The sequence below is a fragment of the Homo sapiens genome, chromosome 4 (genome assembly GCF_000001405.40).
Source record: "Homo sapiens chromosome 4, GRCh38.p14 Primary Assembly".
In the NCBI taxonomy this organism is placed as follows: Eukaryota; Metazoa; Chordata; class Mammalia; order Primates; family Hominidae; genus Homo; species Homo sapiens.
Window position 1 is genome coordinate 79584108 of NC_000004.12, and position 27865 is coordinate 79611972.

At 37.4% G+C, this 27865-nt stretch overlaps 1 long non-coding RNA gene and 1 pseudogene across 2 annotated transcripts in view, besides 1 other annotated feature; one reads left to right on the forward strand and one right to left on the reverse strand.

Annotated features, from left to right (window-relative positions):
* LOC107986294 (uncharacterized) overlaps positions 1 to 27865 on the forward strand; it is a 61322-nt gene that overhangs the window by 21953 nt on the left and 11504 nt on the right. Inside the window, exons 1-6 of one of the 2 annotated variants that reach the window (XR_007058156.1) lie at positions 346 to 756; positions 1041 to 1120; positions 12375 to 12492; positions 12770 to 12874; positions 16621 to 16670; positions 22722 to 22853. This is a non-coding gene — a long non-coding RNA (uncharacterized LOC107986294). Of the gene's footprint in view, positions 1 to 345; positions 757 to 1040; positions 1121 to 12374; positions 12493 to 12769; positions 12875 to 16620; positions 16671 to 22721; positions 22854 to 27865 lie in introns of those variants that run through there. The other variant, XR_007058155.1, reaches the window with a different exon arrangement.
* Positions 1650 to 2245: an enhancer, noted in NCBI's record as "OCT4-NANOG hESC enhancer chr4:80506911-80507506 (GRCh37/hg19 assembly coordinates)". NCBI's record gives its function as "activates a minimal SCP1, AML or CMV promoter by ChIP-STARR-seq in naive H9 embryonic stem cells {active_cell/tissue: H9 hESC(naive)}" and the evidence as "EXISTENCE:reporter gene assay evidence [ECO:0000049][PMID:30033119]".
* Positions 3647 to 3976, reverse strand: OR7E94P (olfactory receptor family 7 subfamily E member 94 pseudogene; annotated as a pseudogene).

Consider the following 27865-nt stretch of genomic DNA (forward strand, 5'->3'; position numbering starts at 1 on the left):
AGCATCTTTTTTGGACTAAACAAAATTTCATCACCTCTGCTGGAAAACTAGAATGTTACATCTTTTGCATATTCATTTAGGCTGTGATAAATTAGTTTTGGTTATTGTTACTTCATTATTTTTCATAATTCTCCTACCCTCAATTTATTCAATTCAATCTCAGAGCTATAGCTTCTGGTACTTGACTATAAAATTATATATATGTCACAGAGGCAAAGAGATATTACCCACAAGGGCTTAAAAAATAGATCCTAAACTTTAACACTTGTCAGAAGTATTAGCACTTATCAAATTGTGCATTGCTGTTTAAATAAGGCATTTGTGTCTGTGTCCCTGTAATATGAATGTTACTTGACCCAGAAAACTATTCCTCCTGGAAAACATGTACAATATCTGCCAAAAAGGCACTTGGATACTTTGTTGTGACAAGACTTATTTCCTCTCTTGAGCAAGATTTGAAACCAGAGCCAGGAGCATTTGTACTGGTCAATAATTCCCAAACAAATTTTTGGATAAGACGTGAAGAATTAGCCTCAGCCTTAGCCCATTTCCATTTGGCTAATTTTCTTGCACCTGTTAAAATTGTTCTGCATGCTGAATGGCCTTTATACTCTCCAGATAGTTTGTCTCAGGCCACAGAATCAAGAGTCTATGCTTGATTAAAACATTGATATGTCCTGCCAGAGCGCTAGGCTTTGTTTTTCAGTGCACTTGGTGCAGAAACCGTAAACTGGACTGAATGCTTAGAGGTAAAAGGTGTGAATCTTTTGTTATAGGTGGGTGTTGCTCTAATAAAATAAAACTCTGAGTCTCTGGTATAACTCTACTTTATTCTTCTAATGGCTGCTGTAATAGGAATAAGTTACAAATGATGACAAATAATGGAAAGTTTGACCAAGAGTAGTATAAAAAGAGAAGGGTTTATTTTTCTTGCATGACCAGATATTGAGGGGTAGGCAGTCCAGGCTGACACAAAAGACTCTGAAATCTCTTTCATTGTGTAATCCTAACATCTTGTCTTTCGTCCTCATGCTTTTCAGATCGTGGTCACCAGATGGCTGTTGCCCTTCCAGGCTTCCAGCTCCTGTGTTCCAGACTGAAGAAGAGGAACAGAAAAAGGGTCAGACATCTTTCTCCTAGTGCAGCTTTGTTTGATTAGGAAGAGAGAATTCCCCCTCACCGTCCCCCTTGAGATTTCTGCCAGCATCTCATTGACCTGAACTGTGACACCTAGCTATTTCTGTTTCACTCTCTAACAAATGTAGAAAGTGTTAGTAAGGAAGACTGGAGTAGCATACTTAGAAATGGCAACAAGCAGTGCCTCCCACAGCTGCACAGTATCCCAGTTTGTCAGAATCTTCCATGTACTCCTTCAGGTCTACTCTATGCCCTTCTCACTCTGTTCTCTACTCCGGAGGCTGATTTCCAGGGCTACATTCCACAGGCCACCAGGCTTTCCCAGGCCAAGTTCTCTAGAAATAGATCCTGACGTGGGTATTTGAGTACACATGATGTATTGAGAGAGTGCTCCCAGGAGCAACCTTCAGGGGAGTGAGGGAGGCAGACATGGAATGAAAAGGAACTATGGAAAAATGTGGTTTCAGGTGAAATCTAGCTTTGGCATGATCCCATGGAAAGTTCTGTAGTGTAAATTCTGATGCAGAGTCTTTTCCAACGTGGGACAAGGAAACAGGGACTTTGCAGCACCTCTCCAGTCAGTTCTGGGCCATTGGCCCCTAGATGGGGAAAGAATGTATAATTCCCAGGCACCTCCAGGTAAGGCGACCTCAGTCACCTAAGGGCAAGCCTTCTGAGAAGGATGCAGGTGTAAGTCTATAGCAGAAGCACCTGCAGCAACTGAGGAATTAGCACACCAACCATATCATTGAGAGGGATCTCAGGGCTCTGGGTTGCATAACAACAGCTTCTATCTGTGCTTTCTGGCTTCCACTAACCTTGGCCAATGGAGAGCTAGAACAGGCCATGAAGGCATTTCCCTTAACTCGCTCCCTGCTGGGTTTCTTCCCAAGGATTCTTGGACATGAGAGGAAATGTCGTTTCATGAATGTTAAACTAATTTGACTTAACTTATAAAAGATATGAGGCATATCAGAATACTTGAGCTAAATAACAAAAGATCATCAAGTAAAGAGTAAATCATGGTCTTTCATGGAAAAGAAAATTTATTAAGAATTTGTTCTATTCACAGTTATTGAATACAAAAAAACTCCAAGCAGATATAAGTTTGAGTATTTCACTTTTTAAAAATTGATTTTTTAGTAAAAATCTGGAAAATAAATGTTTTCCTAAATCATAAAAAATTTCAAATAAACCGAGTAACAAACATGACATTATTTTAAAATATGTAGAAGTAAGAAGCACATGAAAACGTTTATATGAGTGTGAAGAGAAGAATCAGATACAAATTATTTGGGGATACCCCAAATAATTTCTCTACAGACTATTTTCTTGACATCGTATATCAAGTGTATTCTTGAATTAAAGAGAAATTTGAAAAAGAAATAGCTGTATACTACATTTTATAATTTTCTTTATAATATTCCAGTGTTTAAAAATTTTAAAGTCAAACTTAAATACTCTGTGAACCTAGTTATTGCTTTAAGAGGAGGTGAAATTGCTGCATAGGTGATAGTGACTCATACGATACATTTAAAATGTTTTGCAATAAATTCTATGATAATCATGCATCCAATTCTACCCTATTGCAATGAATAAACATAATTTGTAAAATTCATGGTTAATTTCGGAATATAATGAATGTTTTTAAAATGTCATTAAAAAATCCCAAGTGTTACTTTGCTAACAAAATGAAGTTTCTCTAAATGAAAACTTATTAAAACAAACCATCAAAGAGCTACAATGTTCCAAGAAAGAATGGTTAATCTGTAATTGCTGTAAATATTGCCAAATTATGTGAAAAGAGTGATTACAACTACATAATTGGTGATTTTGCTGAAATGAAGGTAAACATAAATTTATTAAAAATATGTATTTGTGAATTATGTATCTTCATTTTATTATCTGTTAGAGCACAGCAGGCCTAAAGAGAACATTCAGAAAAGCACAATAATAATTAAATTAAGCTCTCTTGTTATTTTACTGGCTTGCAGTCATATAAAAATACACAGCTTTATGCATACATATGCATTTGTATATACATTGATCTTGTTGCTATTAAGGTATATGTATCAAGATAAGAGAACAGGACATGTTTTATTTATGAGTTATTTGCCTTATTTACAACCTTTAAACATTAGACATGTCTTCCATGGAATACTATGCAGCCATAAAAAGGGATGAGTTCATGTACTTTGTAGGGACATGGATGAAGCTGGAAACCATCATTCTCAGCAAGCTATTGCAAGGACAGAAAACCAAACACCGCATGTTCTCACTTACAGGTTGGAATTGAACAATGAGAACACTTGGACACAGGATGGGGAACATCACACACTGGGGCCTGTCGTGGGCTGGGGGGAGGAGGGAGGGATAACATTAGAAGATATACCTAATGTAAATGACGAGTTAATGGGTGCAGCACACCAACATGGCACATGTATACATATATAACAAACCTGCACGTTGTGCACATGTACCCTAGAACTTAAAGTATAATAATAATTGAAAAAAAAAGGACAAAGAAAGACATCTATGTCAGGCAGCCCGCATAAGAGATGACTCTGCTATGCGATTGCATGTCCACAATCATCTTGGGAACCATGGCCGAGGTGAAACCAATGTCAGCCAAGGACAGGTTGAAGAGGAAGAAGTATATGGGGGTGTGGAGGTGGGAGTCAGAGCTGACAGCCAGGATGATGAGCAGGTTCCCCAGCACTGTGACCAGGTAAATGGACAAGGACAGCCAAGCGAGGACAGGCTGCAGTTCTGGATCCTCTGAGAGTCCCAGGAGAAGGAATTCTGAGACACCTGTGAGATTCTGTGGTTCTGTGTGACTTGGACACCTTGAGAAGAAAAGAGGATTGGAAAAAATAAAAAATAAAAACCAGCCCTTAATGCTGTGTGTATATTTTGGATACAAGCAATTCACAAGGAACATTTTCACACTTGAGGACCATCCACCATCAGCAATATTTCTCAGTTGTGACAAACCCAAAAATCTCACAATGATTACATGATTTACACTTTTGCTATTCAACTCTTTCTGTACATACCTACTTTAGATAAAATCCACTGAAGAATGTTAGAAGACCAAAACGTAACATGTAACAAATCCATGATCTCAGTAAAATGTGGCCTACTCTTTTCAGAAAAAATAAAATATAATAAAAAATTAGATGTGTCTTATGTGATTTTCCATTTGTTGTTTTGTTCCAGTCCCCCAAATGAGAGCACCTGCCTCTTTATATTTTCAAGAAAAATTGTAAATACTTATCCCCTGAGGACATTTTGTGTGGTTTTAGCCATTTCAGAAAATTTTATGTTCAGTCCACAGTGATTTAAAGATTTTTGGTTTAGGACTTAAAGTTGTTAACTTTCCTCTATTTGAAAAGTATAAATCATGGAAATAATACTATATAGATTCAGAACAAAGACTTTAAAGACAAATCTGGGTTTAAAAGTTGATCTCATCAATATTATCTAAGAAGATGTGGGCAAGTTAATTAATGTTTTTTGACTTTAATTCCAGTTCTAAATTCAAGACAATTTAATTACTTCATTGGGTTTTTGCCTTTAGCTCAGTAAATAGTTGTATGATGACTGTTATTAATGTCATGTCAGCAAGGCATGTGGCTGGACAGCACACACATCAGACTTGCTGGAGCAGCATTCTAAGATGGGACTCTGGTTGTCTATGCATTCTCAGGCAGACACAGAGGACTAGTCGAGCCAGACTTCCAACCCTGGAAGAAAGACTAGTCCCTCTGTTTGGGGAAGTTCTTAAGCAGGAAAATTACAGAACCCTCCATCAATTCCCTGGCTTGAGCAGGGACTGGGATGCAATAGCAGTATGATTGTGGAGGAATCTTGTCTCCAGCCTCATCTTTCTAGCAAGTGAGTGCACATGTTCGGAGGATGGAGCACCAGCCTCCTCAACACTATGCAATCAGGGGGCTGCAGTCCCAGGCGCACAGTGGAGCTGAATGACAAGGGAAGCTTGCTGCAGGGTTTGCCACTTCCGCATTTATGTTGCGGGAAGCTCTATCTCCTCCTCTGGTGTGACGAGGAGGATGATGGTCCCAGGATTTGCTGGACCAAGACCTGTTTCCTCAAGGACAGGGCAGTAGTAAATTTTTTAGGAGATTTGTAGGGGATCAGCTTCTTTTCTGAGAGGCCAGCTTGCTGGGGACCAGTCTTGGACAAGTGAACTTTTATTATTCAAATATTATTGGATATATACCCAAAGGAAAACAAATCATTCTACCACAAAAACTTACATACCCGTATGTTCATCACTGCACTATTCATGATAGCAAAGACATGGAAACATACGTGCCCGTCAATGGTGAATTGGAAAAAGAAAATGTGACACATATACACCGTGAAATACCATGCAGCTATATAAAAGAATGAAGTCATATCCTTTGCAGCAACATGGATGCAGCTGGAGGTCATTATCCTAAGTGAACTAATCCAGAAACAAAAACCAAATACTGCATGTTCTCACTTACAAGTGGTTGCTAAACATTGAGTACACATGGACTTAAAGATAGACACTGTGGCCTACAAATCGGGGAAGGATGGGAAAAGAGAAAGGTTTGAAAAACTACCTATTGAGTATTGTGCTTGATATGTGGGTGACACGTTCAGTTGTAACCCAAGCCTCAGCATCATGCAGTATACCTTTGAAACAAACCTACCCATGTACCACCAAACCTAAAATAAAAGTTGGAAAAAATATTTAATATGTGTATATAATTTTTATGTGTATATATAATATGTGTATTTAGTATGTGTATATAATTTATATGTGTATATTTAATATGTGTATATAATTTTAATTATGATAAAATCAGTTATATTTTCATTGACTACTGCTTCCATTTTGGACTAACTAAGCTTGAATAGTAGTTCACTTATAATCTTCTATGTAAGTGTGTATGTGGAAGAAGCTTGTTTAATATAGAGCTACATTTTATTCTAATCTATAAGAGATCTTTAAAAGCAAAATCCAGTTTGTAAGTACATGTATTTTTAATGACAAGGGAAAAGAGGTCACAAATAATTACAATTAAAAATGTCAATATAAAGAAAGGAAGGTGGTAAAATGTTTTGGTATAAGAATTTATGACTGAATAAAGAATTATCCTAAAAAGCTGATTTTGAGATAGGCAAATGATCTGATCATGACTTTCACTTTATTATTCTCTCTCTATGTGAGAACTCTGTACAACAAATTTATCATGCAGACAAATGCAAAAAAAAATCACTTAAGTAGCTGATCTTTCAAGTGCCAAAATTCCACCCCAAATTGCAGATATAAACCCTTGCCAACAAGAGTTTATTTTTAAGACTCGGACAGTCTGTTCACTGTGGCAATTCTAGCAGGCTCCATCAAACCACTAATGACATAGAAGAGAAATGAGAAAGAATCGACTTGGAGTAACTTAATGATACTACATTTTAAACCAATGTCAAGCATGCACTGTTCCCTTAGAGATATTAATAAAGTTGGTTGAAGAATATATGTGCTCTAGTTCTATGAGACTCCAAAAGAGATTCCTATTGCTAATTTTTTCCTTTAGCATGTGAAATTGTTAGTCAGCATGCTCTTGCAAGGACAAAAGTTAGATTTTTGTTGTAGGATACTCAGTTTTCTTCCTCCCCCGAAAATGTTAATTTTAGTGCTTCAAGGAATATAGAATTAAGGTTGGTAATTTGCTTCTTTATGAGACTTGGGTGCATGGTCTCACAGCCTGTCATAGATCAGGGGAATAGATCAGGGGAATTCTCTTATCCTTGCCACAATTGAATGTTATTCCTGGAACAATACAGTCTCCCCTTGGGCAAGGCAGAACTGATTTGACATTATCTTGGAATAATCAGTTTTATACATCCAAGCATAATGTTTGCTCCCTTCGTCTGTTTTAGTCTACTGCAAAAGTCTGGGGGATTCTGACAGTCTTGGATAGGTGAATACAAGCAGATTGACCAGGGGCTAGAACTTAACACTATTCTTAATAATTTGTCATGACCCACATGTTTCCCTCCCAGCTTTTGTGTACTATCTTCTCACTGGCTCAAGGTTGCTTTATTCTATACAAGTTAAGGAATGTTGACATTTTGTCCTGTTTTTTTCAATTTAGAGTTTCTGATCCTGACCACTGTTGAGCTTTCCTACACCTCATAAGCTAAGTTTTTCCCTTTAAGCTCTGGCCCTGATTTTGACCCCACTACTCTAGTCTTGTCACTGCTCGTTTGTAATGACTATTCCCTGTTGAGCCACACAGACTGAACACCTCCATTGTGGGCTCTTATTATTTACAATATTTCAGTTTCTTATTCAGATAAGTTTTAGTAAGTTATAAAATGCTTACGAGAGTTAGGTAAATATAAAAGTAGGGAAGAAATGAGGCCCAGAAATTTTCTTCTTTTTCCCCCACAAACCCTTCTTACACTATCAGAAGTGGAGTAGGCTTAAGATCAAGAAAAGAATCCTACATGGTCTCTAAACAAATAATGTTTGGCAGCAAATAAATGCTAGAAATTTTTATTTCAATAATTATCGTTAAGCATAAAGTATACTTGTTTTAAAGCATAGGCAGGTATAACAGTTACTTTTCCTTCTTTATAATTAACCATTACATTCAAGTATATTCTACACTGAACAATATTGTGGGATCTGGCCAGCAGCCCACAATGCAACGGGGCTCTCTCTTTGTTCCCAGGCAGATTGGCAGGTTGAGAAAAAATAGACACACACAAGATAATGAAAGCTGGGTCCAGGGGGGTCACCGCCTTCTGGTCCTGCGGTGCCAACAATGCACTGGATATACTAGCATTTATTATTAAGTTTAGTGAGGGCGGGGATAGGTTAGTGAGAGATTTAGGGTCATTTGATTATGAGGTGAGATGGTCACATGGGGATGAAGTAATTCTTTAACATAACATTTGTATGTAGAAGTACAGTACATTTGTATGTAGAAGTACAGTATACAGAGATAAGAATTTACAATATAGTGTGTGCGTCAGTAATTTCTAACAGAGCCTTAAAACAGAAACACAATCTTTCCATAACCTATGATTAGCAAGATATTAATCAGCAGTAACAATTGCAACAAAAGCTCATTACAAACAATCCATGGAAACAGGACGTGAAGCTAGACAACCGGTTAGACCAGAAATTCTCAGAAGGGAGTATGCCTTAACCCTAAAGAGGCCTAGAAGAGCCGTGGCAAGATGAGGGCGTTTATAGCCCTATCTTATCCATATGGACAGGCGCCCCCTCCCCCAATGCATTCATTTATAGGCTCTCCACAAGGGTCACATTCCATTCCCAGAGCTATGAACATCTACTTTTCTGGGATAGGAATCTTGGTGATGTGAAACCTCCCTAACTGCACGTCCATTCATAGGCTCTCTGCAGGGGGAAGCACATCACGTGCTGTTGGCTCGTTCTGGCAGCCCAACCTGGCATTGTCTTTACACAATCTTGCATGCAATTTTGTATTTAACAATAATCAGGAGGATTTCATCTTTTATTCCGTAGCGATAGTTTCAGGGGGTCTCCCTACAGAGCAAGAAGTCATTTCAAACAGTAGGTGCATGAGAGAGAAGAGACAAGTAAAAATGGGATAGGGAACAGTTACTTTCTAGTGTTATCTGTAGGTTAGCATGGAGCCACAGGCCCAAAGAGAGGCTTCTGAAAAACAACAACAACAACAACAACAATGTGTTGCAAACACTTAAAGGAAATTTATATTATTCTGACAAAAGTCACCCATATTGAATTCCTAAAGAAATCTCAAACATGGTACTACAAAAAAAAAAAAAAAAAAAAAAGAGAAAACAGACTTTTCTACTTGAAATAGTAAATGAAAAAGAAAAAATGGATGAAAACCATATGAGAGGCTTAGGATTATATAATGGAAACAGACTAATTCTCTTGAGAATGGACAAGTTCCTATTAAAGATCAGTTTAAAGAATAATTCTGGGTGCATTACTATATCCACTATGCCTTATATCAACACATAATATGGTGGCTAGTATATTAAAGTTTATTATGTGATTTTTCTTTTAACTTCTCAATTAATTTTAATAGTGACTATGTGAACTTCACAATTCTGCCCCCCATTTTATTTTTTAGTTGACTAAAGTGAGACCCAGAGAGCTATCAATAAGTTAACCCTCAAACAGGCTTGTATTAAAAGCCAAAACTTGATCTCTTGACTATTGACTCTAGAACTTATGACTCATTCCTTTACCCTTTTTACTTCATCACAGCTACTTTATACAATATTGTCATGAACCATGAAAATTAGAAACGACCTTACAGATCTAAGTTGTCCAAACTTTCTTCCAAAGCAGGGTAACTCTGCAATTCTGCCAGTGGCCCTGCCCCAGGATTAGAATTATTTTCATCCCATTGTTGAAGTGCTCTAAATCATTACAAGATTCTTTCATATAAGAAAGCAAAATTTTACATAGAGCATATCCTGGTAAACCAAGTAATAACTAATATAGTCTAAACACAATGCCTTTAGGATTTGAATTTTTAAAATAGTCTTAAGGCTAACCTTAAGAATAGTTCTACTCTAGAACAAATAGAATTATGGCAAAATTTCTTATCTGTGGTGAAATTGAATGAAAGACAGAGACACATCAAGACCAAGATTCAAATCTTAGCTTCACCCTATGTTAGTTCTGACTCAATTTTGTTAATCTAAAGTGAGTATGATAACACCTTTTCCAGGGTTATTGTGAACATTGATTAATATATGTGCAAAGAGGACACTTTAGGAAACAACTATTCTTAGTCATGGCTAATGACTTTTACTCACAACAACCTTATACAATAGAACATGAATTTTCTAGTTAGGAACTATTGTTTCTCTAACCAATCTTTTGATGAACTACCTCACAGTTTATTAGAATTCCAACAATTTATTTTTGTTTCTTGAGAAACTCAGAAAATACTTAAGAATGAAGTTAATGAAAGAATAAATAAATGGATTAGTGGAAACCTACATATTTACTTGCATAGGAGAAGGTTTTCACTTGGTATATGCATTAAATACGTTTTCCCATCCCAAATGTTTTCATATTGGCATTCAGGAAAGGGAACATTTGAGGTATGGTACAGTGGCCTATTGCTGCAGGCTTATCATCTCTTTATTGTTGTTTTCCCTTTTCCACTCTAAGGTCTTCATACACCCCTCTAAACAAGTGAAATTGCCTGCAAGTTAGTAAATGTGTGTGTTCTTGAGTGATTTTAAATTGAGAATCTTGGTAATTAAGGTTTGGGCATAGGAAGACATTTAAGCATCACAATCATTCCATAATACTCCTATTTCAGTTTATTTTGTTCCCTTATGTCTTATTTTTTCCTAAAATAATAGGTCTAGTTGACTGTATTTATGATATCTAATTATAATTCTATGTAGGCGAGGCAAACCTATGATGAGCTCACAATAAAAAAGTGTTCATTTTAAGCAAACAAATGAACTCTAATTGCTGCAACGTGTCCCTGGTTTATGAATGTCATTGACAACAGGATAGGCCAAAATTATACAATTTATATATTTGTGTGCCCTCATTAAAATCATGAGAAACATTAATGTGTATAAATGGTAGAGATTTCCAAATCTAAAATTATGCTAAATATCCAATGTGGTCTAAATTGTGCAGATTGGAACTATGACATATACTTTTACGACTCTGGAGGTCTAATTTATGAACATTGTTACAAGGTTTTTAATGGAGTGAAAATGAAGTCAAATTGAACTTCTTCCTGATGACATTAAAGCTCCAATCACAACACATAGACTAATAAATGTTACTTTTTAGGTAGTGACTGTCCCATCAAAGCCTCTTTAATTTGAGTGAAATTGTAATAGGGAATGTTTTGGACACTAAAGAAAATCACAGTATACCAGCACTATATAGAACACGCATTTTGTTCAACATTTAAATTTTTAGCTTCTAGTTTATGCAAGGCGCTGTATTCATTGCTGGGCAATATACACAATGTAATGAGGCAAAGTTTGAAATTTAAGGGATTCGCAAACTACTAAGGTGCCATCAGTTGTGAGAGGCACCATTATTTCATGTAACACAGAGTAGAAGAAAAACAAAACAAAATGCTGCCAAGTAATTATAAGGTATCACTGTATTCACTGAAAGATGCATGTCAATTTCAAATATGTTTTAGTGTGAAAATCTATTTATCCTAGAATTCATGAAATATGGTGGTTGAGAACTCGAATATAAACTATGCTTTATTAAGAGCTGTAACAAAGATGCAACATGTCCTGAAAACATGGAAGGAAATATTGATTTTGACCAGAAGATCAAAGAGAAAACAAGTATGTGAATCTTTGAAAGAAGACTAGAGTTTAGTCTTATGCAATAAGGGCAGATAAAAGAACAACACTCTCATAAGAGGGAATGAATGCTTAAAAGTTTGGAGAACCACAAGAATCATGTAAAAGTGAACAATAAGGCACATGAGAAATACTAAGAAACAAGTGAAACAGGTGACAAATTGGAAGTTTTGACTGAGGTGTTCATATACAATAGAATGCTGAACCAGATGAAACATTTCCAAGGATTTGGCTGAAAACCAGTTAGCTGACTCTTTTGAACTTCTCAGTGTATCAAATTGCAAAAGCATTGAAAAATAAAAGTGGGAAAATTAGATAGAAGGATTTCTTGAGAGAAACCTGCATTGGTGGATCTCTCCCTCTTCCATTATTACTTCTTCACATCAATTTAGTGAGAATTTCAATGGGGGGCCACTCAGAGGTTTTAATGTGTGTATCCTGTCATCAGGGATATGTCAGACTGCAACCGAACTCTGGCCCCGTGGTCTTTGCAGCAAAATGGGAGTTACAGCTCCACTTATAGCTAGTCAGATATATGCAGATTTGAAGGACTGGCCATGGAAACTAAAGTGGGTTAGTTGCTTTGAAAGGGATTGTACCCAAGATGGTAGTCTTACATACTGAGTGAACCTCCAGCTGTGAGAGATTATGTGGGACCACTGGGAACTGAAAGAAATCTGGGGGACGCACCTCGGGGAGAGGACTTGCTCCCATGGTTAAATGCATTCAGAGAGGTTTAATATGAGTAAGAAATAGTAAACATTGGCCAGGACCAGAAAATGTGAAGCCATCTTATTTTAGCGTCAGTCAATGAGACTTCCCTTACCCTCTCTCTCTCCTTCCTACTCCAGGTTCCACCTTGGCATGGTCAGAAACAGCAGTTGACTAGTGAAGGAGGAAATGAATGAACAAAAAGGAAGATCTCTCTTTTCTACAGCAAGCAGTAGTTTCTCACAGCATCCAGCATAGGTAAAGAAAAGAGATTTGACTTTACATTAGCTTTTGAGCTTTGATTCATCTGTTTTACTGGAAAATTTAGTCACAGAATTTAGATTATGCATATAACTTAAAAGGAGTAAAAGAAAGAAAAAATCCAACAGGAAGAAAAAGGTTGTGAAGTTGTCTAAGTTTGCATCTAGGAGCAGGGGAAGGAGTACACATACGAAACAGGTTTAACGGGATGGTGAAAGATTAAAAAGTAAGTTACTTTTATAATTGTATTTCATTAATTCTTTTCAACATATAGGTTACTCAAGACAAAAAGAGGAGTTTGGATGAAATGGCATAGGGCTGACTACTGGACTAAGAATTCTGGATTTTATTCTGCAAGCTGGTGGAGACACATCAAAGGGTATTGAACAGGAGGCTGACAGGATTACATCTCTGTGTTACAGACATTAGGTCTTTGCATAAAAGTATATGCTCCCTTATATTATACACTTACAGAGGGCTGGCTTTGTTTAACTTGTCCTACATAACTTTCAGTACTGAAAGTGAGCATTATACCATTGATGAGGTTGCTATTAAACCTATGTAAAACATCTGTGCTATCAATAATTTCAGGTATTGTTATAAAAATCAGATGAAAGAACTGGATATCATAAGAAAATTTACAACAACTAAACATATAGAAGAGATTTTTAAAAAGGCCTAAAAAAAGGATGCTGCAATGGTTAACTAGGAGCACAATAACGTTGCATAATGAAACCAACAAATTCTCAGAGTCTTATAATCATAAGGCTTTGTTTAGTTAATGTGGCTATGGGTTAGCTGGAATTGGCTGATTTGGACTGGGTTCAACTGGGGCAACTCAGTTCTGCTTCATGAGTCACTCATTTTCCCCTTGGGACCAGCAGGCTATCCCAGACATGTTATCTCACAGTGATAGTAGAGATGCAAGAGGACGGGTAGAAACATGAAAGTGCTTTTAAAGCCTTAGGTTATGACATGCCAGCTAACATTCAATGATTAAAGCAAGTCACATAGCCAAATCTAAGTTAAAGGGTGAAGAAAGAGTTTATATTTTTTGTGGGAGTAACTTCAAACTCACATGGCTAGTTAATTTTATATGTCAACTTGACTGGGCCATGTGGTGCCCAGACATTTGGTAAAACGTTATTCGGGGTATATCTGTGAGCTTGTTTCTAGATGAGATTAATATTTAAATCAAAGCCTGAATAATACACATGGCAAAGGGCTTTCATACAGGGAATGGTGAAGACTCAGGGCCGCTAATATAATCTACCTACATAGTTACCTAAATCAGTGCCATTTAATAAAAAAAAGAGACAAAAAATATGTTCAAAATACAGCCCCCCGCCACACACAGAATCAAATACCATGCAACAAATGCCACAGTTATTATCAGTAATACCAACAATAGTATTGCTAAATTTGATGTCTGTGAGATAGGATAGGTGGCTTTAAACCTTCTTACTGAAAATCTAAGTGAATATTGAGAGGGAAACCATATGTTCTTCAATAGTAGTGGAATTAAGGCAAACTCTAGGCAGATGGAGGTGAGGGCAATGGACATTTCTGCTTGATCATTTGGTTTTTATCAGTATTTACTGTACTGCTGGATACTAGGGGCCCCATGGCAGCTGGGTGTTGATTAGACCTCCTTCAAAACCTTGGGTATGAAGACATGTCTGAATTACGCAGGGGTGCTAGATTCTAGTGCTTTAGCCTGAGACTTTCTACTGAGGCAATCCTTCCAAGGGTCTCATGCCTCAAGGCCTAAAGCACCAGGTTTAGGTGCTTTTTGTGGTAAAGGGAGGAAGTACAGAATACCTTATTTCTCTGTAACTGCCCTCACCCATGCGTCTCATGCTGCTTGTATTAAGCTTTAGATTTATTTTGTCTAACAGTTCTTTTACCTTTATGCTATCTATATTATTTATTTTGTTTGTTTTTATTTTTTCTTTATTTGATTTTTATAATTTTATCCTTCTATTATTCTCTTTGAGCAAATTATAACTGTGTACTTTCTTATATTTTAAGTTTCTTTTTTAACTTTACTTTTAAAAATAGCAGCCCGAAAGCTAACATCCCCTAAGGGTAATAGTTGTGTGGATGGTTGGTGCCCTAGCCCTTCTCTCCACTAACAGTTCATGGTACCTCGCCGTAGCCTTTCTTTAAGAGACACATCTTGGTGTGAAACACACACACACACTGCAGCTACAACTGAGCTGCAAAGCAGTCTGGAGTGCAAGGGAGTTTTCTGCTTTATTCTGTAACCTGACTTGACAAACCCAGCAGAAGATTTACAAGAGTTCTCTGTCTCCTTCTAAAGGAAGGTGGGAACAGCAGGTAGTGGAAATTGGGATGCATTGCCGGGGCGACAGGAGGACAGCTTGTACTTCTTTTCTGCCAGGGCTGTCTGTGTTCTCTGCCGAAGCAGACACAATCAGTTTCTAGCGTAGGCTGTCTGGCACCAACTGTATTTACCATGGTTTATTCTTGGGATTCCTCTAAAAGGGCATGTGACATTTTTTTTTTTTTTTTTTCAAAACCTAAGAAGGACCTGCTAAAATGTGGGGATTGATAATGGAACCTACTTGGGGCCCAATTCTGGGAGCTCATTTGAACCAAAAGGGACTAGATACAGGCCTTTTTACATCTGAGTCTTCCATAACATAAATTGTCAATGTTATTCCAGTTAATTAAACACATTAAAGGGAAAAAATCAATTAATATTGTAGTAGGTATGGTAAGAATAGACCAACATTCCGAAAACAAATCCTAGCTCTATGCTTCTTAATACCTAGAGTTTGTTAGCAAGAGTCACAGCTTTCTCTATGACTCAGTTTCCTTTTCTGTATAATGATGATAATAATATTATGTACCTCATCAGATTCTTGTGAGGAAAAAATAAGTTACAAGCATATGCACTGCATAAACATTTGTTAAATAAGAATTTATGCAGACATATGTAAATACATCAGCTGCCTGACTATTGCTTCCTGGCCAATAATTACAAGAGAGGAGTGGGACTTCCATTCATTTGGAAGTTGAGAGAGCAGGCTCAGGGAGGAGGAATCACCCATTACCCATACCTTCTCTTGGTGTAGATGCTGAGTGAGTCCTGCTTAGGGTATAAAGAATATCAACACCTCAGCCTGATTGAAGGTGAAGTGAATCTTGCTACCAGAGACTTGGTATCTGGATGAAGGGTGATCCCAGGGCACCGAATTCTTCCTATCATAGTGCACACTCCCATGTTGACCAGTGTCTGTAACAGAAGATCTCCTGCTTTGGAGGCTGCTCCCTTTCTGAACCTGGAGTGCTGCCTGGCTCTCAGCAGATGAATCTTGTTTACTACATCTGCAGCCAGTAGTTTCCTGTTATGCAAAAATCAGTGGCTCCTAAACATAGTTCCCAGACCCACCAGACTCTTGGTTTCACCTGTCACAAGAATGAGAATATTCCCCATTAAAAGTATTTTCCTCTATGGTTCCCTAAGTAAGTCACAGTGCCATCCACTGAGGTAAGCAGGCCCCCAAACCAAAAGCCATTCTGAACACCTGTCTGCTCATCCCAAAATATGTCGCCAATCACAAAACAAGTCAATGGCCCCTCCTAAGCAACTCTAGAGTCCATCTACTCCCCTGCCCTGCACTGCCACCACAATTGTCACTCCTGAATTTCTACACCGGCCTCTGACCTCACCTCCTGCATTGAGTCTTGGCTTCTTCCAACCCGTTCTCTGGACTGAAGCCAAGATTACATTTTTTTCGTAGAAAATCTGTTTATGTTACTCCCTTAATTTAAACTTTTCAGTGGGTTTTCCAATACTTTTTAGATAAAAAGCAAAGTAATCAACATACCTGGGCTCCAAGGCTGCCATTCTGATCCTGCTGCTTCACTCCTTGCTCCCACACACATCGCTCAGTCGCTGCAACACCCTCAAGGCCTCTCACCTCAGGCACATGCTCTTCCCTTGGCAGGATATACTCCTTCCCCCGCTGCCCCCATGTGACAAGTGTATTCTTACTCGTCCCTCAGAATGCCATCCATCTTAGACCTCCTGGGCCACCATAAAAGAATACCACAGACTGATCTGCTTAAATAACATTTTTTTTTTTTTTCTCACAGTGCTGGATGCAGAAAGTCCAAGATCAAGATGCCAGTGGGATTGGTTTCTGGTGAGGCCTCTCTTTCTGGCTTGCAGATGCTGCCTTCTCTCTGTTTCCTCACATGGTCTTTCCCGTATGTGCACACTCTCCTGATGTCTCTTCCTCTTCTTATGAAGACACCAGTCCTATCGGATGAGGGTTCCAATCTTGTGACCTAATTTAGCCTTAATTATCTCCTTAAAGACCCTATCTTCTGGTGAAATCACATTGGGGATTAGGGCTTCAATATATAAATTTGGAAGGGGAACCCTGTTTGGTTCATAACACCACCTAAGCACTACTTCCTCAAGGTTTCTCAAACACATACAGTTTAGTCAGAACTACCTGTTGTACAGTTCCCAAACTATAAATAATTTTTTAAATTACTTGTTCAATGGCTGTCTCTCCTAGTAGTCTATAAGCTCCATGAAGGTAGTTACTTTTCATACCTTGTTTTCCGACTTGTCTTCTATATATCTTCCAATACATCCTCCAATGCCTAGCATAGTGCCTTGTAAGTGAATTCAAACTAGGGTGCTTTTGTTAAAAAACAAAAAACACAGCTTCTGAATGTTAACAACTCCCTATATTAGACGAGAGATCACCTCACCCCTTGGATAGTTTTTGGGACTAGCCAGGTGCTCTCAGACAGAATAGGTTCTATAGTGATTTGGGTCCTTTGGTCTTATCTTTTAATCTCACACTGTTTTCTATAGTTTGGATGTTTTTCCTCTCCAAATCTCGTGTTGAAATGTGATCTCTAATGTTGGAGATGTGGCCTAGTGGGAGGTGTTTGGTTTGTGGAGGGGGGTCCCTGATAAATAGATTAATGCCCTCTTGCAGTGAGGAGGTGGGGAATAAATTCTCACTTTATTAGTTCCCATGAGACCTGGTTGTTAAAAAGAGCCTGGCATTTCCCCTGCCTCTCTTGCTTCCTCTCTCTCCATGTGATCTCTGCACATATTGGCTCTGCTTCGTCTTATACCATGTGTGGAAACATCTTGAAGCCCTCACCAGAAGCAGATGCTGGCACCATGCTCTGTACAGCCTTCAGAACTGTGAGCCAAATAAACCTCTTTTAAGTTACCCAGCCTCAGGTATTCCTTTATAGCAACATCAAATAAACTAAGACACTAGTTTTGCTTGATAATATGGTAAATTTTATACTGCCAGCTCTCCTCCAAAATCCTTCCCTATCACTAACCCTTCATATCCAATTTGTCTGCTATCTACTAATATCTCTCATAACCACGTAATCTTCTTTTATCCTTTTCTGCTTTTCCTCATCACTTAGTTCCTACATTTCTATAGTAATTCTAACTAGATGTATCTATTTCTCCCTAAAATTCCCACCTGTTCTTCCCATGCTATTTGGATAAAAAATAATGAATACCACAAGTCTACAAATATCTTAAGTGGCTGACCCCTGCCTATGGTGTTGTCCTTTGCTCTCAGGATCATGTCCAAACTCTTCATGACAGTTTATTAAGTCATCTTAAAATCTAAACTTTGTTTTATTGTCCAGCTTCATCTTTCACCAGCCTAAACCACTTCCCTTCCCTCAACTCCCCTTGATCTTTCTCATCCATGGCCTTCATGACACTGTTTTTTCTTTCTGGAGTCCATTCTGTTATTCTTCTGGCTCACTCCATCTCTCTACCCCCATGGTTGGTACTGTCTCCAAGAAAATAACCACATTCCCCAAATTTGAGTCTGAGGTCTTTTCTGTAGGTTTTCATCACACCCTGTTCTTTTCCATCTCAGATATCATAATTTTTCTCTTGATAAGGCTACTATTCTCTGCTCAATCTAAGTTGATTTTCTTAAATGGGAGGGAGTTGTTTCATTAAAATAATGTGTACATATCTCCTAAAATCCATGGCAACAAAAGATAGCCAGACTTCAGAAGTGCCTGGAGCTGGGAGGTGGAAAACCATTGAAAATGAAGCCAACCAACTGTTAGATACTATGCCTCCTCCCCTTCTTTTCCCTATTCCTCTCTTCATCGGTTTATGATTCTTGTCTTCATGAGATTAGCTTCTTTGACTTCATCACAAGGGAAAAAGTAACCACCTTGTAGCTTTTGATTTCAAGTAGGAATGGATGAGGAGAGTGATTCTGATCAGCCCGGCATGAGCACGTGTCCTCCACTGAGCCAAATAGCTCTATCCAGGAAGGCAAAGTCATTTAGTATCAACTCCTTCTGGAGACTTCACATTTTGGGGTTAAAAATCATATCTAAGAAAATGTCACCCTTATTGCTGGACTAAACAGTGCCTTTGTGTAAACTCTAAAAAGCTGCTCATTTCTCAACAAAAGTTTACTGCTTAAGGCTAGAAATTTATTATAATAAGTGTACTTATATATGTATAATGACTACAAATGTACACATGTATCAAAAAGCCTTCGATGAGGTTCTTATGAACTGATTGGATAGGTACGTCAAATGACTTTCTTTAATAAACATTAAAAATGAAGCTTATTATTATTGGCAATTGTCCTTCTATTTTGCAAATTGATGCAGTATAAGTATTGCAGAAAAGAATGCCAAGTTTATTGTATGAGATTTTAGGGAAAAAACTATATTCTCACTTATCCAAACATAAATTTTTTAGAAGGACCTCATAGTAGCTACTTATAAAAATGCCTATATTATACATAATTATCAAACTTGAAGATAATTTTTGTGAATTTTTCAACTTAAATTGTCAATCTCTGCAAGGCATGCTGATTGGAATTAGAAACGTATTACATCTGAATGCTATGGGCTCAGAGCCTATCTCCAAATCACTTAGTGACTTAATGTCACATTTAACCTCTACCATATTGTCACCCTCTTGCCAGATCTCTAAATTATAAAGCTTCCTTTTAATAATCACATTTGTTTATGACCCCCACACTCATAGTTATGGTTTAATCTGAAGATAACTTGATCCTTTTTATTCATAGCAGATGAAGAGCAAATAAATAACAGAACATGTGTTGGTGTATACAAAAAATGATGGGGTTGAGAAGCCAAGGTATCTTATTGTTTGACAGAAAGGCAGAAAGCAGATTTAGAATATTTTGGAAAGAATATTGAATGATGGGTAAAGGGCCCATGGTATCTTCCGTAAACACAACTCATGTGGTTACATTTTCTTCAAACGAAACAGGAACTAGCAAAATGTCATAACAACACTCAAGTATGACACGAAGAGATCTTAACGCTGATGTGAAGGAGCAGTTAATCAAAACGAGAAAAGAGTAACTGATCAGCTGAACTTAAAGTTATAAATGCAAGTAACCAGAATAAGCTAGCTCAGGATCTAGTAAATTAAAAAGACCCCTATCTTCTCTGATTTGCTCATTTCCTGTACAGCAGCTATGTTATAGACCAAGTTGATGTTTCTGATATACAGACATATTTAGCAGTCTTCATAGCATGCTCCCTCAATAGACTTTACTGATAAAACATTATATAGTGTCAAAAATTTCCTCAAGCAGTTTGCTGGCTAAGCTTCCCACAATTTGAGAGTGAGAGGGTTAAGTGTTGTGATCATAAACCTTACAGTAATTGCTCTCAGACCTATTAGCAAAATGTCTTGCATAGAGTGTCATCCTGCCATTCCCCATGGGTCCTGTTCACTAACCCCTTGCATTTTGACAGTTATTATCATCCAAGCACAAAACATCACTGCTGCAACATGGAGCTATCTGCATAGTAATGTATCAACATTACTTGGTCTCCAAGAATAACTGTTAAAATCCTGCTATTATTTGGAATCTGAAAAAGGAAAGGCAAGCTTTTGCATTTATTTTTAAAAGACACTAACAACAAAATTAGTTTTGGTTGAAATCACAAGAAATACAACTATGTACATCTCATTCTAAAGCAATGTTGCCCAAGTTACAGAAATAAGAAGTCATTGGTAGACTTTATGCACACTCACTTTGAAAACATTGCATGAGAAGTTCTGAGGAAGCTGTTTTAGCAAAATAGAATGTTTTTCCTTCCTAACTCTTCTTTTCTCTGGGATGCTTGCATTATAAAATATGTTCCATTCTTCAGGATTGCCCATCTCTCCTTTATTCCTATATATTTCTTTATTTGTAGGCTTAGTTTAATTGGATTGTTTTCCACTCCTTAATCATATTTCAGGGAGCAACTGTAATAAACAAAGAACTTCCTGTGTAGCAATGTTGAATCCTCATTCCCTCATTCATTAAATAAATTTTGTACTCAATTTTTAAACTAACTGACTAGAATTAATTAATTTGTCTTTTTATTCATTCACTTATTGACTAAGTGCCTATGATATTGTGAATATACCGGACACTCTCCTAGGTACTGGGTATACAAAAAAATGCATTGATTATGCTCTGGAAAAGCTCATTTTCTGGCAATGGATTGTAGTCTCTGGTTATGTAATGAGTCAGCGATGAGATACTATTATGGTGGTCTCATTCACATACATCTAACTTACCTTGAAACCTGACCGTGGTTTATTTACTCATCTTTAAATAAAACAATGCCTATGGAATACTAAATTTTGCAGAAAATGTGTAATTAGTTAAGTGTTCAATTCAATACGACACAACAATGCTACATTACACTTTATTCCAAACCTCAGTGGCTTAAAACAATAACCAGATTATTATTATTATTATTTATTCCTTTTTTTTTCGTGATAGAGTCTTGCTGTGTCGCCCAGGCTGGAGTGCAATGGAGCAATCTTGGCTCACTGCAACCTCCACCTCCTGGGCTCAAGCGATTCTCCTTCCTCAGCCTCCTGAGTAGCTGGGATTACAGGCATGTGCCACTGCACCCGGCTAAGTATTTTTAGTAGAGACAGGGTTTTACCATGTTGCCCAGGCTGGTCTTGAACTTTTGACCTCAGGTGATCTACCCACTTCAGCCTCCCAAAGTGCTAGGATTACAGGTGTGAGCCACCGTGCTGGGCCATCACAATAACCAGATTATTATTATTCACAAGGCTACAGATCAGCAGGAAAGTTCCTGTAGTTTCAGCTATGCTCTGTATGTGCTGACCAATAGCTGAGTGCTGGGAAAGCCATTGCGTTCATTTTGACTGAGCTCTCATGTATTTAGGGATCAGTGGCTGATGACTAGTCTAGAATAGCCTCAACTCTTCTTCACATGTGCTCATGAAGAGACAGGTATAAGAATGAGCAAGCTCAATTGTTAGGAGAACAAGTAGAAATACACATACATTTTTAAAGCCTCTGCAGTTGTTCCATTTGCTGACATCTTGCTGGCCAAAGCAAGTCACATGGCCAGTCCTTGTGCTCAGGTGGGATGAACTATTAAACCACAAGGTGTGCACTCAGGGTGGGCCTTAAGTAAAATTATTAATACTATTAATTTACCACAATGTATAATATGCTCTGATGTGAAAAGCTCACAATCCAGTAAATATACACACTGAAGACAGATTGATAAATGAGGCATAGTTAGTGAACACTATGGAATAGCAAACATTGACCAGAGAGGGAATATCTTATATAGGAAGTGTAAGATATAGAGATTATCTCATAAAAACAAGAGTCAAATTATGGATTGAAGATCAGCAGCTTTGAGGAGGAAGAGAGAGAAAATAAAGAGAGAAAACAAGCAGGATAGTGGGATGGTTTACATTCTTTTATTCAGAAGAATTAAGATAGCCAATAGTATCATAATTTTCCAGCTAGGTAGATTTAAATGTTTCTGTAAAAAGAATTACTCCTAAGACTTTATTTGTCCTTGCTTAAAATATCCCATTTTATGGCACTAGAATTTTATAAGAACAAACTATATGCAACTGATGGTGTAAATTATGGTCAGCCTCAAGTGGCTAGCTCCGCTTTGGACAAAATCTGTGGAAGACTTTGAGAAATTTGTGCTACAGACAAGAATGAGTTCAGAGAGGGGTAAGAATGTAATTTGTATCAAAGGGATCAACTAGAGCATTCACATTGAAAAAGAAAGGAATATTCACTGTGTATTGATAACTCATTGCTCCTCATAAGGACTCTGGTCAGATATACCAAATACAAATCATGCAGGTATACATCTCAGTTTTCTTCCCATCTTCTCTGCAGTGCTACTTGAAGGGGCACCAAAAAATCATGAGCCCAGGACAGGACAGAGGTGGAACTTATTCTCCAGGTGCTCTACTTTGAAGTCAAGGACATCTTACCATCATCCTGGAGAGCTGGATCCTCCCAGAGTGAGTGAGTTGATAGGTACTCAACAGTCTTTTCAGTACTTAATCATTTCTCAGTCATTTTGCTTTTTATCTTTCGTAACAGCTCATTTTCATTTGGAGTCCTTGGTATCTTACTATGTAGTTTTTACATCTCCCTGCTTCAGTCATCTACAATTCCCCCATACTAATCAAAGAATTTGACCCCAGTATTTGTACTTCTTTCTAACCTAAGGACTTTAATTATAAGTATTTTCTTGAATAATCCACAAACATATTGACTTTAGAAATTTTTTTTTTAAATCTGTTTTACTCTGACAACCTTCAACTTTATCCACCATAGCTATCTACCTTCACAGCCATACCTTCAATCTTGTCATGATTTGGAACAATTCTAACTAAATCATTTCATACCAATGTTCAATGTTTTAACCATAAAATCCTAGGTTTCTAGGTTGCCTATGTCTTTAATCCCATTATGATCTCAGCATGGTATTACAGCATTCAACAAACATTTATTTATATATGTATTTATTTTCTCTTTCAACTTTTATTTTAGATTCAGGGGGTACATGTGCAGGTTTGTTACCTGAGTATATCGCATTATGCTGAGGTTTGGGAACAAATGATCCTTCACCCAGGTCCTGAGCATAGTACCCAACACTTAGTTTTCAACACTTGTCCTCTTTCCTGCCCCCCAGTAGTCCCCAGAGCCTATTGTTGCCATTTTTATGTCCATGAATACCCAGTGTTTAGCTCCCACTTGTAAGTGAAAACATGAAGTATTTCATTTTCTGTTCCTGCATTAATTCACTTAGGATGATGTCCCCCAGCTGCATCCATGTTTCTGCAAAGAACATGATTTTGTTCTTTTTTGTAGCTGCATAATATTCCATGGTGTATATCTGTTACATTATCTAATTCAACACTGATGGTCACCTAGGTTGAGTCCATGACTTGAGTATTGTGAGCAGTGCTGTAATGAACATGCAAGTGCATGTGTCTTTTTATTAGAGTGATTTATTTTCTTTTAAATATATATGCAGTAATGGGATTGGTGGGTCGAATGGTAGTTCTATTTCAAGTTTTTTGAGAAATCTCCAAACATTTTTCCACAGTGGCTGAACTAATTTACATTCCCACTAACAATTTATAAGTGTTTCCTTTTCTCTACAGCCTTGCCAGCATCTGCTATTTTTTTGTCTTTTTTATAATACCCATTCTGACTGGTATGAGAGAGTATCTCATTGTGGTTTTGATTTGCATTTCTCTGATGATTAGTGAGTTGGAGCATTTTTTTCATGTTTTTTGGCCACTTGTATGTCTTTTTTGAGAAGTATCTGTTCTTGTCCTTTGCCCTCTTTTAAATGGGACTTTTTTTTTTGTTTTTTTGTTTTTGTTGTTTTTTTGTTTTGCTTCTGAGCTGTTGAAGTTCCTTAAGATCCTGGATATTAGACCTTTGCTGAATGCAGAGTTTTTGAATATTTTTCTCTTATTCTGTGGACTGTCTGTTTACTTCGTTGATAGTTTATTTTGCTGGATGGAAGCTGTTTAGTTTAATTAGGGTCTCACTTGTCAATGTTTGTTTTTATTGCAATTGCTTTTGAGGACTTAGTCGTAAATTCTTTCCTAACGCCCATGTCTAGGATGGTGTTTCATGGTTTTCTTCTAGGATTCTTATAGTTTGAGGTCTTATATTTAAATCTTTAATCCATCTTGGTTAATTTTTGTATATGCTGAAAGGTATGGTCGAGTTTCATTCTTCTGCATATGGCTAGTAAGCTATCACAGCACCATTTACTGAGTAGGAAGTCCTAACAACATTGCTTATTTTTGTTGACTTTGTCAAAGATTAGATGGCTGTCAGAGTGTGGCTTTATTTGTGGATTACCTTTTCTGTTCCATTGGCCTATGTGTCTGTTCTTACACCAGTATTGTGCTGTTTTGGTTATTGGAGTCTTATAATATATTTTTAAGTCAGATAATAAGAAACCTCCATATTTGTTATTTTTGCTTAGGATTGCTTTGGCAATTCCAGCTCCTTTTTGGTTACATATGAATTTTAGAATAGTTTTTTTGCGGGTTATGTGAAAAATGATCTTGGCAGTTTGATAGAAATAGCATTGAGTCTATAGATTGCTTGGGCAGTGTGGCCAATTACTATTAAATCCATGAGCTTTTAATGTTTTTCCATTTGTTTGTGTCGTCCATGATTTCTTTTAGCAGTGTTTAGTAGTTCTCCTTGTAGAGGTCTTTTTTTCCCCCTTCTAGGCTAGAGGAGTTTCTAGATATTTTATTTTTTTTCTGGCCATTTTAAATGGGATTACATTCTTAATTTGGCTCTCAGTAAGGATATTATTGGTGTATAGAAATGTAACTAATTTTTGTACATTGATTTTTATATTCTGAAATCTTATTGAAGTCATTTATCAGTTCCAGGGGCGCTTTGGTGAAGTCCGTAGGGTTTTCAAGATATAGAATCATATTGTACACAAGGACAGATAGTTTGACTTCTTCTTTTCCTATTTGGATGTCTTTTTTTTTTTTTTTTTTTTTTTTCTCTTGCCTGGTTCCTCTAGCTAGCACTTCCAGTACCATGTTGAACAAGAGTGGTAAGAGTGGGCATCCTCTCCTTGTTCCAGTTCTCAAGAACTGTGCTTCCAGTGTATGCCCCTTCAGTATGATGTTGTTTGTGAATTTGTCACAGATGGCTCTTATTATTTTAGGTGTGATCCATCAGTGCCTAGTTTGTTGAGGGTTTTTAATATAAAGAGATGTTGAATTTTCTCAAAAGCTTTTTCTGTACTATTGAGGAGATCATATGGTTTTTGTTTTTAATTCTGTCCTCATGTTGAATCACATTTAATTTGTGGAATATGTCAAAGAGGAAGTTGCCATATGGCTGTATAGATCATAAAAGAGCTTTTAGCTAGAAAATATACTCTAATACTCTTCTGCTCCACTCACCAGCAAAAGCCCAATCCTGTACCGGTCAGCAATTTACCAACTTTAATCATTCCTACAGCAGTGGTAGTAAGTATTGCTGAGAAAAAATAATGCAAAGCTATGTGTCTCAATGACACTCAGTGTTGATTTATGTTCTAAATCTCCACTGCTTCCCAAATGCCACTTGACCAAGTCATTTGTTTTACTTGGACAACTCCTTCTCTCTTTCCTCTCTTCAAGCAGTCTAAACGTTCCCCACTACTGTCTACCAGCTGTCAAATGGCAATCCTCCATTATTAACAGATTACCTCTCTAATTTTAGATGAAAACCAAAAAGAACATTGGGAGCAGTGTGTCTTTTAACTTTATTATACTCCTCTCTCCTGCTAGCTTATTTACAACTTAACTCTTTCCTCCAGTCTCAGAAAATTAAGTGTTATCCTGATAGCTTCTAGATAATAATCCGTCTCATCTCCTCTCTATTCTCTTTTTCTCTGGGCTTCTTTTCAGCAGACTACAAACATGGACAAGTCTCAAGAGAGAATTTAAAAGTTTTTCCCTTGACATTGACTGTCCTTTTTATTTAATCCCTACATGATGCCAAATTCTGCACCTGTTCCATGAATTTCATCTGTTCTTCCTTTTCAGGAAACACACACTGTTGATTATCCTGCCCTTTTCTTATATATTCTACTTCCCTCACCTAACTTGGTTCTTCTTACTAGTTTTTAATTATGCTCAAACTCTAAATCCCATTTCAGCTACTATTTTATCTACTTTTCCCCCTTACTAACATCTATTATCATTATTTCCAGTGCTTCTTTCCTTCTCCAACAATACAGATATATTTTTGGTTTGTATTACTTCTTTACCTTTGTTTATATCTGTAATGCTTCTTTCCCTTCACCAGCCAAATTCCTACAGTCTTTCAAAGCTCAGCTTGGGCACTAACTCCTCTGACCGTTCATTCTAGGCTGAGTTATGTGTCTCTAGATCCATCATGATACAGTCTACTGGTCATGCACATGAACCCTGAAGTCAAAAAATATGAGCCTAAGAGGTGACATTAATAGTTTATGCCAAGTGCAGAAGATTGTGATGAGAGTTGAGTTAATGCAACTTCTCTTAGCCTGTGTTTCCTGGAATATATAAGTGATGCAAACGTTTTTGTGTGAATTTATTATTTGAAGGTAAAATCCTAGAGAGGCAAGGGTGAAGTCAAATGAAGAAGAAAAGAGGAACGAGGCAGGTAAGGAGAGAACATATTCACAAGGTGGCGCGTTACAGAAGTAAGCACAGTGTTGCAATACAACAAAGCCAGTTGTTCAGTCATGTGAGGGAAAACTGATCTGTCATAAATCACTGAGTCAGGACAAGATAGATGAGCAATTTTTCTGTGGCTCCTTCTACACTCCTGTCTTCCATCGGTCAAGTCACTTACTCCCCCACAAGTAAAGGTTAAGTTATTTTGTCTAGCAACTAATGGGGAAGCTGTAACCTCTGTGGGTTTAGTCTGACCACCACAAGGGTAGAATGGTCTCCTTTTACCAGTTGGCACGACAAGTGAGGGCTACCGGGCCTATGGCAGGGCAGCAGGCAGGATTTTATGGCCACGTGAATGAAGCGAGATTTTGAGAGGTCCCCTCTGACCAAGAAGCAATGGACATTACTGAGGTGGGGAACAGGCAGAGTGGTATGGATCTGGGGATGCACATAAACTGGGACCAATGTGCCAGGGAAGTTTAAAGCACACTACTTTACACATGGGAAGTACTCTGTCAGAACAGCTAACATCCAATTACAGTTAAATCACAGTGGTCTATTTACTGTTATGTCTCTTCTCTATTCATCTGTAAACTTCTTGAATATAGTTTTTACTCATGTTTGTATCCCCAATTTCTAGCCTATAACATACAAGGCATTAGTACGTGTTCATAATTTGATTCAAATGCTATAATAGAGCCAAAAACAAAACTGGAGAGGGAAAGATTACTGTTACTGAAAAACAATTATTCCTCCAGTATTATTTTGGTGATCTAACAACAACCACATACATTTTCAAAAGGCAAAAGTACCATATTAGTTGTCTTCCAT